The 12,773-nt window shown below is 38.3% G+C and overlaps 1 protein-coding gene across 12 annotated transcripts in view; it reads right to left on the bottom strand.

Annotated features, from left to right (window-relative positions):
- EXOC6 (exocyst complex component 6) overlaps nucleotides 1-12,773 on the bottom strand; it is a 232,660-nt gene that overhangs the window by 134,502 nt on the left and 85,385 nt on the right. For 11 of the 12 annotated variants that reach the window (NM_001013848.4, NM_001319194.2, XM_017016344.3 and 8 more), the window contains 2 exons: nucleotides 9,076-9,231; nucleotides 4,939-5,007 (listed from right to left, as the gene is read on the bottom strand). In NM_001013848.4, coding sequence (NP_001013870.1) covers nucleotides 4,939-5,007; nucleotides 9,076-9,231 — 225 coding nt within the window. The remainder of the gene's footprint in view (nucleotides 1-4,938; nucleotides 5,008-9,075; nucleotides 9,232-12,773) is intronic. The other variant, NM_001319200.2, reaches the window with a different exon arrangement.

The following is a 12,773-nucleotide window of genomic DNA, read 5'->3' as shown; positions in this document are numbered from 1 at the left end:
TTGGAGCAACCTGGATGGAACTAGAGACCATTATCCTAAGTGACAGAACTCAGGAACAGAAAACCAAATACTGCATGTTCTCACTCATCAGTGGGAGCTAAGCTATGGGTATACAGAGGCATGTGGAGTGGTATAATGAACATTGGAGATTCAGAAGTGGGGTGAAGGATGAAAAAAATCACCTATTGGGTACAATGTACACTATTCAGGTGACAAGTACACTAAAAGCCTAGACTTCATTACTATACAATTCATCCACATAACCAAAAGCCACTTGTACCCCTAAAGCTACTAAAATAAATAAAAGTACATTAAAAAATGCACCCCTATTAATCAATAAATCAAACAATAAAATCAGGCATAACTCCATTAATTTCATTAGATATGATGACCATCCTTTTTCTGGGTGTTTAACAAAAGAGAATGGTATATGCTGCTAAAAATGAATAGCCAGGGTTTACTTTAAATATGAAGTAGAAAACATTAAACAATTGGACTTAGACTTATGACAGCTAAACAGCTTTACCCACTTTATCGAATCATAATGTACATGAATATGAAAAAATAAAGTTAGCCAGTGTAACTTAAAATTTTTGGCAGCCCCAGAAAACACTCCATTCATGTTTAAAAGATACAGCTTTACTAACCCATATCATTTGGCTGTTTAAAGGTGTTTTTCTTTACAGCAAATGATACATCCTAACGAAGAGTATTAAGATTAGTCAAAATCATTGTTTACATTTAAACACATAGGACATAGTTTTAGCAATCAAAATTCTCTGTGTTCTCTTTGCTCTACTCTCACAGGGACTCTCTCTTAAAAGCAATTACTTGTTGTCAATAGCTAGGGGGAAAAAGAACAGGTCATTAAAAGGAAACTATCGTTATTCCTACCTATGTCATTACTCCCTACTACATATCTAAATTCAGAATATCCTACCACAGGACAAAATATACTGTTCCTAATATGATTTACCCTTAACAGAAATTTGTGCAAAAATGGAAAGGAAGGAACTCCCAATACAGTTCCTTGATTAATAATTAAAGGAGACTTCTCCTTTATTTGGCACCCTGGAAGCTTTTACACCTCAAGACAATGCACCATGGTAGTACTGAGTATCAGTGAAGGGTATGATTTTCATTTATAAAGTAAACGTGGTAGCCTTCAAAACAGCCTCCAAAGATCCCCACCTCATGGTATTCATACCCTTGTGTGGTCCCCTCCCACAATGCACCTGAGTTCATCTATGTGATGAATAGGATAAAGCAGAAGTAATGGTATGTCACTTCTGAGATTGTGTTATAAAAGGAATGATGGCTTCCACTTTGGTTTCTCTCCTGGATGACTCACTCTGGGGGAAGCCAGCTGCCATGTCATGAGGACTTTCAGGCAGCCTAGTAGACACTCCATGTGGCAAGGAACTGAGGCCTTCTACCAGCAGCCATCATAGAGGCAAATCCTCCAGCCCCTGTTAAGCCTTCAGATGACAGCAGTCCTCATGACATCTTGACTAGAATCTCATAAGAGACCTGTAGCCAGAACCAGCCAGCTAAGCGACTCCCTGACTGCTGACACTGTGGAATAATAATGTTTGTTGTTTTAAGGCAGTGTGTTATACAGCAATTGATAACTAATATGGTCACTATCTTAGGTAGCTGTCCTAGGAACAGAATCTGAGATCAATGATAAACTAAAGAAATGTTGAAGAAGGAAACTGTTCAAGAAGTGAAGAAAGTGAAAGGAACAAGAGGAAGCCAACCAAGGGTACCATCTAAGGCAAAAAATTGTGTGCCTGATTCCACACTGCAACTTCAGAGCATAAGTTATACCTCAGTGTTGTCCTAATCTAGGCAAGGAAGCTAGGCTTTCAAACACCATATCTACACACCATAACTTATTAATCTCAACACTGGTAATCTGATGTGGGGTAGCTTCTAGCTGAAAAGGGACCCAAGGGAATCTGAGCAGAGCACCAACAGTAAGAGAAGAACTATTCTGAAGACAGGTTGGGCTTCCCAAACAGATCATTTTTAGAAAGAAAGCCTGGACCTAAAATTTATTTCCCTAAAGTTTCTAGCCCAGGGCCCCTTGGAAAGCCTTCACATACCCTTAAAAACTCCTAGGGCAGCAATTCGCACACTATATTTGGTATTCATCAGATAATTAGGAAATTAACTCATTCAATATTCAGTATTCTAAGAAAAAAAATGATCCCTATACTCAAAGTTTAGGATACAGCCAGCTAAGTAAAGTCAGAGAAGCTCTTAGGACTTCTCAAAGTCTGAAAAATGATAAGCTATGATAAGCTATATTGTGAATATTGTGTGCAGCATTTTCCAAAGAGAATCCCTTTTTTTGACATTATACCTATTTTCCTTTCATGGAATACTCATATTTGATCAAATAGAGTAGGATACCTTAGGATTTCGGACAAAGAGCTTTTTTGGCTAAAGTAGACTTACAGTCAACAGTCCTTGAAAGCATACATATTAATGTAACCCTTTTATAATAACCCCTTTAACATTTACTGCCTGATATTTTATACCAGGTCCTATACCAAGCACTTTTATTATTTATATTGACTATAATATCCAACATAGCCTTAGAAATTGTTAACCATATTTTGCAAATGAGGAACTCAAATAAGGGAAGTAATTTTCCCAATGCTATAATGCTGGGAAATGGCAGAACTGGAATAACAAGTAGAAGGAAGAAGAGTTGTAACAATAATAAGAAATTAGTGGCCGGCCACGGTGGCTCATGCCTGTAATCCCAGCACTTTGGGAGGCTGAGGTGGGCAGATCACCTGAGGTCAGGAGTTCGAGACCAGGCTAGCCAACATGGAGAAACCCCGTCTCTACTAAAAATACAAAAATTAGTCAGGCGTGGTGGCAGGCGCCTGTAATCCCAGCTACTTGGGAGGCTAAGGTAGTAGAATCGCTTGAACCCAGGAGGCGCAGGTTGTAGTGAGCCAAGATGGCACCACTGCATTCCAGCCTAGGCAACAGAGCAAGACTCTGTCTCAAAAAAAAAGAAAGAAATTAGCTTTACCAAATAATTTTTGGTTATATATACCAGCCAGAAGTTATTGTGCTAATGAAAGTTTATTAAATTTACAGCATAAAACAGTAAGACTATACTGTAAACTCTACCTCTACCAAAAATACAAAAATTAGCCAAGCATGGTGGCATGAGCCTGTAGTCCCAGGTACTTGGGAGGCTCAAGTGGGAGAATCGCTTGAGCCCAAAGAGGTCAAGGCTGCAGTGAGCTGTGATCACGCCACTGCACTCCATCTTGGGTGACAGAGCAAGACCCTATCTCAAAAAAAAAAAAAAAGAAAGAAAGAAAACAATAGCACAAAGAAAAGGGTATTAATCTAACTGAATTGTTTTAAAGTAAGATGTTAATTGCAATCCTCAGGGCTAATACTAAGAAAATAGGCTGGGCTAGGTGGCTCACACCTGTAACCCCAGCACTTTGGGAGGCCGAGACGGGTGGATCACCTAAAGTCAGGAGTTCGAGATCAGCCTGGCCAACAAGGTGAAACCCCATTTCTACTAAAAAAATACAAAAAATTAGCTGGCCATGGTGGCGGGTGCCTGTAAACCCAGCTACTTGGGAGGCTGAGGCAGGAGAATCACTTGAACCCAGGAGGCGGAGGTTGCAGTGATCTGAGATCATGCCATTGCACTCCATCCTGGGCAACAAGAGCAAAACTCCAGCACAAAAAAAAAAAAAAAAGGAAATGACAAAGGAAATGAAATGGTACATAAGAAAATATCTATTTAATGCACAAGACAGTACTAATGGAGGAATAGAGGAACAAAAAAGATATAAGACATGTTAAAACAAATGGCAAACATCAGAGCAGACATAAATCCTACCTTACCAGTAATTACATTAAATGTAAATGAACTAAACACTCCAATTGAAAGGCAGAGATCAGCAGACTGGATTTAAAAAAACAGACTGAACTATGTGTTACCTACTGGAGACATACTTTAGATTCAAAGATACAAAGAGACTGAAAGTAAAAGGATGGGGAAAAACATGCTATGCCAATAGTGCTCAGAAGAAAGCTGGAGTGGCTATACTAATTAAAGCCAAACAGACCTTAAGACAAAAAATATTATGAAGAAAGATATTTTATGATTTTTTTAAAAAAGGTCAATCCATCAGGAAGACATAACAATTATAAACATATATTCACCTGCCAACAAGGCCCTAAAAATACATGAATAAAAAACTGGCAAAACTGAAAGAAAAAATGGACAATTCAACAGTTATAGTTGAAGACTCCAATACTTCTACTTTCAATAACAGAATAGGCAGAAGACCAACAAGGAAGTAAAAGACGTGAACAACCCTATAAACCAACTACATCTAACAAATATCTATAGAACACACCACCTAATAACAGCCAGATACACATTTTTGATGTTTTGGGGGTGGTTGGAGGGGTGGGTAATGGGTATTTCTGGAATTAGGTAGTGGTAATGGTTGCACATCCTTGTGAATATGCTAAAACCACCGAATTGTATACTCTAAAAGGGTAAGTTTTTTCGTATGTGAACTAGATCTCAATAAAGCAGTTATTTTTAAAAAGGAACATTAAATCAAAAATAAGAGCAATGTAGTATGGAATACACATGTAAAAGTAACTTATAAGAACTGTGATGTAACAACAGCACAAAGGCAATAGGGAGAAATGGAAGTATACTATTACAAGGTTCTTAAAATATACATGAAATGGTATATCACTTGAAATTACACTATGATAAGTAAACAAAAAATGTAAGTGCCTTACACAGAGTGGATATTTCACAAAGAATTATGTGAAGATTTACAGCATATGATCAATTTTTAGGGCCTAAAATACATACATGCCTTTTAAATAATATAAAGCTATATATACATAAATATAAAACATACTTACCAAAACAGAATAAATGTGCAAACATCGATAAACAGGGGAAAAATCAACAAGATCCTGAACAGTTAAGATCTGAAAATTAAACCATTTTTAAAAAAATTATAGGTCAAACTATTAGACCACCATTAGATAATGTAAAGTTAAAGATAGGCAAGAAGATTCATGAACTTTGTGTTACAACATTTATTCAATTCCCCCATAGAAAGCATACACTATAAACGCAAAACCTTCTTTATTTTGTTTTGGCATTTCTTCAGCAGTTTATTCTTTGTAGTATGTTTATTATCACTGTGGACTGTTTTCAACTTAAGGTAACCAAGGAGAGAAATTGTATATTTTTAATATGTATGATAGATTACAGAAAACTGCTATGGATAACTAGATACCTTATTATTGTTTTGGGTAAAAATGATACACAGATTTCATGATTTGGCTATAGACAAAGTTCCTGTTCTTACGCAGCTATGTCATATGATTGGTCATTATTGCACTGAATTAAAGACACTATCAGTATTATTTTACAGACTGCTAAGAAAGAAAAAACACCACCACTTAAAACTATAACACCATCATCTTTAAGATGTATCCTATATTCTGAAATGTTATGTGGAAAAAAAAATGCCTTACAATTGATGAAATGTAGTACTATAAAGTTTCTCAAACTTGAGAAATACATAAACCCTTTTTAAAGGAACACATTTGTACTCATGTGAATCTCCAGAGTGAACTTAAATTATTTTTACTATAACATTGCTTATTAGGGAAAATGATAAAAACAAAATGTAGTGCAGTATAGTAGTAAAATAGATCTGAGAGAACAGGGAAACCACCAAGCTCCTCTAAATGTAAAGGTCTGGGGGTAAGGCATGATGGTGATGCTCCCAGCAGGAAAGATATACAGAACAGGAAGGGGAAAATTGAAGTAAGAAGACTAGATGGTCTATTTTCAACATTCTGAACCTCAAAGGAGAAAATAATACAGAGGTCCTCTGAATATTTAGAAAGAACAAAAAAGCAGAGGTCAAAAATATTTATTTAATTTAAAGGGACAAAAAACCTAATAATAATTTCAAGGGACTAATCAGGACATACTAATTCCACATTAGGAAGGCATTTAACTGTTTGAAGCTGTTCATTTGTCTGTATTCAGTACAATAGCAGACATTCACTACATACGCATATATATACATATATACACATATATACACACATACACATATGTGCATACATATTCACACAAATATATTACATATATACTACATATATATTTGTGTGACTATGTACATATGTATCACCTCATCCTCAGATATACAGCAGAAATGTACATAGTGGCTGGGTGTGGTGGCTCACGCCTACAATCCCAGCACTTTAGGAGGCCAAAGCAGAAGGACCACTTGAAGCCAGGAGTTCAAGACCAGCCTGGACAACACGGCAGTTCCCCATCTCTACAAAAAATATAAAAAAATTAGCTGGATATAGTATATACAGGCATGTGCCTGTAGTTCCAACTACTTGGGAGGCTGAAGCAGGAGGAGCATTTGAACATAAGAGTTTGAGGTTACAGTAAGCCATGATTATGCCAACTGCTCTCCAGCCTGGGTGACAGAGTAAGACCCTGTCTCAAAAAAAAAAAAAAAGAAATGCACATAGTAAACACTCAGCTGTTCACCCATTCACAAATGCAGTCATGAGCACATAGTCGTATGGTTCAACTAAAAATTCTTACTGCATCCCAATTATGTCCTTAGAAAAAGAATTTAAAATCTCATTGGCAAGGCAAAACTTATAAATTAATTGGGAATAACAAGGTTCCTATGATAGTAGCTAAATTTAAAAAAAAATTGAAAAGGACGATAAAAGGTAAGTTCAATAGAAGATTCTGTGGAGATAATTTTATTTATTTTTTTGAAATGGGCGTCTCACTCTGTCACCCAGGCTGGTATGTAGTGACATGATCACAGCTCACTGCATCCTCAACCTCCTCTGGCTCAGGTGATTCTCCCACCTCAGCCTCCCCAGTAGCTGGGAATACAGGCACTATGCCTGGCAATTTTTTTGTATTTTTTGTAGGAAAAGGGTTTCGCCATGTTGGCCAGGCAGGTCTCAAACTCCTGGCCCAAACAATCTGCCCCCCTCGGCCTCCCAAAGTGCTAGCATCACAGGCATGAGCCACGGCATCAAGCCCTGTAGAAAAAACTTTCGAAAGCAATAGGATGCCGGGCATGGTGGCTCACACCTGTAATCTCAGCACTTTGGAAGGCTGAGTGAGAGGATAATTTGAGGCTAAGATAATCTGAGTTCAAGACCAGCCTTGGTAACATAGTGAGACCTCTGTCTCTATAAGAAATTTTTTTTTTTTAATTAGCCAGGCATGGTGATAGTGTGCTTTTAGTCCTAGCTACTTGGGAGACTGAAGTGGGAAGAACACTTGGACCCAGAAGTTGCAGGCTGTAGTGAGCTATGACTGTACCACTGCACTCACGGGCAACACAGTGAGCCCTATCTCTAAAAAAAAAAAAAGAAAGAAAAAAAGAACGAGAGAATGAATTTGGATATAGAAGATGAAAGAAAGAAAATATTTAAGGATAATTTCAAGGTTTCTAGACTTACTAGAACTTTTTTTTTTTCCATTAAAAGACTAATCATAGTAGAGTTATTTTTGTAGTATTTCAGCACCAATTTTTTAAATAGGTAGACTATCCAGAATTAGGCCAAATGACAAGACATTACGAAATAAAAATCTGACAACAGGTAATTCAAATATAAGTAATCACTATAAAAATAATTAGATTTGGGCGCAGTGGCCCACACCTGTAATCCCAGCACTTTGGGAGGCCGAGGTGGACAGATCACCAGGCCAGGAGTTCAAGACCAGCCTGGCCAGCATGGTGAAACCCCGTCTCTAATAAAAATACAAAAATTAGCCAGCCGGGCATGGTGGCGCATGCCTGTAATCCAGCTACTTGGGAGGCTGAGGCAGGAGAATTGCTTGAACCCAGGAGGCAGAGGTTGCAGTGAGCCAAGATAGCGCCACTGCACTCCAGCCTGGGCGACACAGTGAGAACCCGTCTCAAAAAAAAAAAAAAGAAAGAAAAATTAGATTTACACTTTTTCTACAGATTCCACTACCAGAGATTTAGGAATATAATCTACAATCATGTTTATCTGTCAATTATCTAGCCCAACATTTCAGATGACTCCATTGTCCTAATAGCTCAATACAATCTGACTGACTTTGTCAACTTGAAATAAAAATATATACAGAAAAATTTCCTAGCAAAAAAATTTATTTGAGAATAAACAAAGAAATAGGATTAAAATCCAGGACATGCACAGACCAGGGTGGTCTCTGGCATGTCTGCAGAACAAAGGAGGTTAGGGTTTTACCGGGGAGACAGATTGTTATGCAAATTGTTTTGAAAGAAAGTTCACTGGTGAGTGTCACTAGTTGCTAGAAAGGACTTGTAATTTTGGAGTTATGGTTAGGCCCTTACAGTTTTGGATTGACCTTGTAAGATAGTTGTTTGTTTTTTTTCTTCTTTTTGAGACAAGGTCTCACTCTGTCTCCCAGGCTGGAGTACAGTGGCACAATGTCGGCTCACTACAACCTCCACCTCCTGGGTTCAAGCAATTCTCATGTCTCAGCTTCCCAAGTAGCTGGGACTAGAGGTGCCCACCACCATGCCCAGCTAATTTTTATATTTTTAGTAGAGACAGGGTTTCACCATGTTGGCCAGGCTGGTCTTAAACTCCTGCCTCAAGTGATCCACCCACCTCAACCTTGCAAAGTGCTGGGATTACCTGTGTGAGCCACTGTGCCTGGCCTGTTTTGAAACAGACAAGTGTTCACATGTAAGCGGCTAGCTGTCCTTGTAGGGCTGATGCAGTAAGCTATGGTTTCAAAAAATTTATTGTGATAGCTCCTGATACCAGGCTAATCGTCCATGACAGCCCTCCCTTCACGGCCTTCTCAGCCTCCATTTTGTCAAAGTTTGACACACTGACTCCATTTTGACTCTGACAACTTTTACAACATAAATTTATTTTGCATACAGGAAGACTAAATCACACAGATGTACATTACAATCCAAAAGAAAAAAAATTATCTAATAATAGAAAAGAAAGAAAGACACCTATCACCTCTTCTTCATTCTCATCCTCTTCTTCAAGTGAATGTTTCAATACAGTTTCATTCCTTTCCTCTGGAATTCTATCACGATTTATATACATATTTTTCCCAAATTTCATTTTATTTTGTTTCTGCAGAGAAACACTGAAGGTTTTCTGATGCTGTGCCTATTTTGAAGAGAGAGAAATTCAGATTATTTCAAAACTGATTATGGTCAAAATTGGTTCAAAAAATTTGTTCATAGTTTTTTTTTATCTTTTTAATGTCTGTAGGTATAGAATTTGTAGTGATGTCTCCTTTCTTATTCATGATTTTTGCCTTCTCATTTCCTTTTTTTAAAAAAAAAAAAAAAAAAAAAATCAGGGTCTCACTCTGTCATCCAGGCTGGAGTACAGTGGCACCATCACAGCTCACTGCAGCTTCAACCTCCCCAGGCTGCAGTGATCCTCCTACCTCAGCCTCCAGAGTAGCTGGGACTACAGGAATGCACCACCACACCCAGCTAATGTTTCTTTGTTTTTTTGTTTTTTTTGTTTTTGTATTTTTTTGTAAAATGGGGTTTTGCCATGTTGCCCAGGCTGGTCCCAAACTCCTGGCTCAAGCAATCCGCCTGCCCCAGCCTCCCAGAGTGCTAGGATTACAGGTGTGACCCACCGCACCCAGCTTCTCTTCCTTTTTAAACAGTCTTAAAATTATGTAGAACCATGTATTTCCTCAGTTGGCATATTGTGTGTTGGCAAGGGGGACTGGCCAACACTCTTTGGCCATACTCCCAACTTCCTGAATTAGCCATTAACCTCACAGAAGGAACTATAACATCAAGTTGCAAGCTTATTTTACTTCCCACTGAAAATGCCCACAGTTTGTGAAGACTAAGAATGTAGAAGCTGTTATCCCACAATTGATCATTGACAAAAAACAACATTTACACAGAATAAAAAGTTGAGAACCCTCATACTTTTAGGCATTTTAGTAATACTTCCCTATCAGAACTTCATTACCAGAAATAGAAAAAAATATAAACTTAATTCCAGGATTTTAATTTCCTTACACACTGCGAGACATTCTCTCTGTTTTGATGGGTCAGATTGTTGCTATTTTGTTCTGTTAGCACATAGAAAGGTCGTGCACTGGCTATTTTAGGTGAGTTCTCTCTAAGGCACATGTAACTGCCAATCAGCCCTTCTCTACACTTAGGTTATCAGACCATGCAAGTTGCAGTAATCTGGCTCCTCTCTTACCTAGACTTTGATCCTGGCTGCCCCCTAGAGGCTGGTACTGGAGAAAATTATTATCACTCCTGTGTATTCCCTTTCCCTCTGTGCCCAAACTAATTTTGTCAATGATTTTCTGTCCTCAGAGTATAAAATCATTTATTTAGAGTATTGTTTCCCAATTATGTTATGCACAAAACTAACAATTCACACAGTAAAAACAGATGTTCCTTGAAAAAAGGGTTCTAAGTTCAAATGAGTTATATAAATATTACATATTGTATCCTCCTCCTAGGAGATTTACAATTCATAAGTAAAGAAATCCGCTTAACTTTATTTAACTCAGGTTTCCAAAATTTATTTGACTATTTAGTCCTTTTGTTCTCCCTAGAGCAGTGGTCCCCAGGCTTTTTTTGCAGGTGGATGGTTTCAGATGAAACTGTTCCACCTCAGATGATCAGGCATTAGATTCTCATAAGGAGTGCACAACCTAGATGCCCCGCATGCACAGTTCACAATAGAGTTTGCGCTCCTATGAGAATCGAATGCCGCTGATCTGACAGGAGGCGGAGCTCAGGCAGTAATCCTCTTTAGCAAGCCACTCACCTCCTGCTGTGTGGCCTGGTTCCTAAAGGCCACAGACAGGTACCAGTCCACGGCCTGGGGGCTAGGAACCCCTGCCCTAGAGAGCAATATTAAAATGTGTGCCAGAGAACATTATATGGAAAATGTTAACTTACCCAATATAAATTTTAGATATTTATTGCTAATTAAACATCAGACTAACAGTGGATTCATCTCTCGTATTAGAATTTAAAAAATTCTCCCTAGACAATCTAAAACTCAGCTCTAAACTAATTTTCAAAAATAACTTTTTTTGTGCCACTCATGTTAGGCATAATAGCTAGATCCCAGGAAGGCAAAAATAAGCAGGGCAAAATCCTCCACTTAAAAAATTCACAGTCTAGTTAAGAACATAAAAAAAGCAATTGTAGTGTGAAAAGTACAATGGTATACACACTGAGGATGAAGTGACCATCTCTCACTGGCAGTAGTGTAATGGGTGATGGCAGAAGATTTCACAGACAAGGTGATGTTCAAGCCCGCTTTTGGGAGGAAAAAGCAGGAATTCATCAGACCGAGAAATGTGAAAGAATGGACATTCTTGGTGAACACCTAGTATATTCCAAAATCTGTAAGACAGCAAATACTGCTAGAGCATAGAAGGGAGACAAGTATCAAGATGAGACTGAGGAACTTGGACTTAAGTAAAAGGTAACAGGGTATCACTTAAGATGAAGTGGTGTGGTCTTATCTGCATTTTAGGACAGTAACCAAAAGGAGAAGAGAATACAGATAAGGAAAACAAATGATTCTATATAACAGTTCAGCTATGTAGAGGGGGAAACAGAATCTACAGGTATTTAGAAGCAGAATTGATAGTAACTAAGTAGGACTTAGTAACAAATAACATTAACAGTATGAATACTCATGAAAAGTTTAAAATACTCCCCAGTTTCTGGAATTGTGGAAACAGGAGACACTACTATCTTGTAGGGAGACCCCCTGAAACTATTGCTATGGAATAAAAGATGAAATGCTCCTGATTATTGTAAATACAAAACTGCATGCAGGATTGTGTAAAGACAATGCCAGTTTGGACTGCCAGAATGAGCCAAAAGCACGTGATGTGCTTCCCCCTGCAGAGAGCCTATGAATGGACGTGCAGTCAGGGAGGTTTCACATCACCAAGATTCCTATCCCAGAAAAGCAGATGTTCATAGCTCTGGGAATGGAATGCAACCCTTGTGAAGAGCCTATAAATGGATGCATGAGGGGAGTGCCTGTCCATATGGATAAGATAGGGCTATAAACACCCTCATCTTGCCACGGCTCTTCTAGGCCCCTTTAGGGTTAAGGCATACTCCCTTCTGAGAATTTCTGGTCTGACTGGTTGTCTACCTTCACGTCCTGTTTCTATAGATTGTTTGTAACCAGCTTTTGCTGCAACTGTTACTGCTGATTAGTATCTGGCTAATCATAGGTTATGGAAAGACTGTGTTTCTGTTTTAAGGCTCTGTTACAAATTACTGATGCACACACTGTATTGTAAATTTTTATCTCTGTATACTGTACTTCTACCTATAGATGTTATGTTAAAGAATTACTTCATCCCCATGTGACCATCTCACCTCATAATCAAATGACCCTAAATCCCTCACTAACCTACCCCGCCCTCACTAAACTTAATAATAAATGCTGGTATATCCAGTGCATTGGAGGCACCGTGGGACCAGAAGGCAGTGACCCCCCTGGACCCAGCTTTCACTATCTTGTGTGTGTCTATTATTTCTCGACCTGCTGATCCGCCTGGGAACAAATAGAGAGCCCCGTTGCATTGCGGGCTGCTGGCCAGATCCTGCAATACTATCTGAGATAGCAAATATAAGAAAAATAGATTTAGGAAAAAAAGAATGGGTTTAGTTTTAGAAATG

The sequence above is a fragment of the Homo sapiens genome, chromosome 10, assembly GCF_000001405.40.
Source record: "Homo sapiens chromosome 10, GRCh38.p14 Primary Assembly".
NCBI classification, from domain to species: domain Eukaryota; kingdom Metazoa; phylum Chordata; class Mammalia; order Primates; family Hominidae; genus Homo; species Homo sapiens.
Note: the sequence above shows the minus strand (reverse complement) of the source record. Positions and strands in the feature narration are given on the sequence as shown.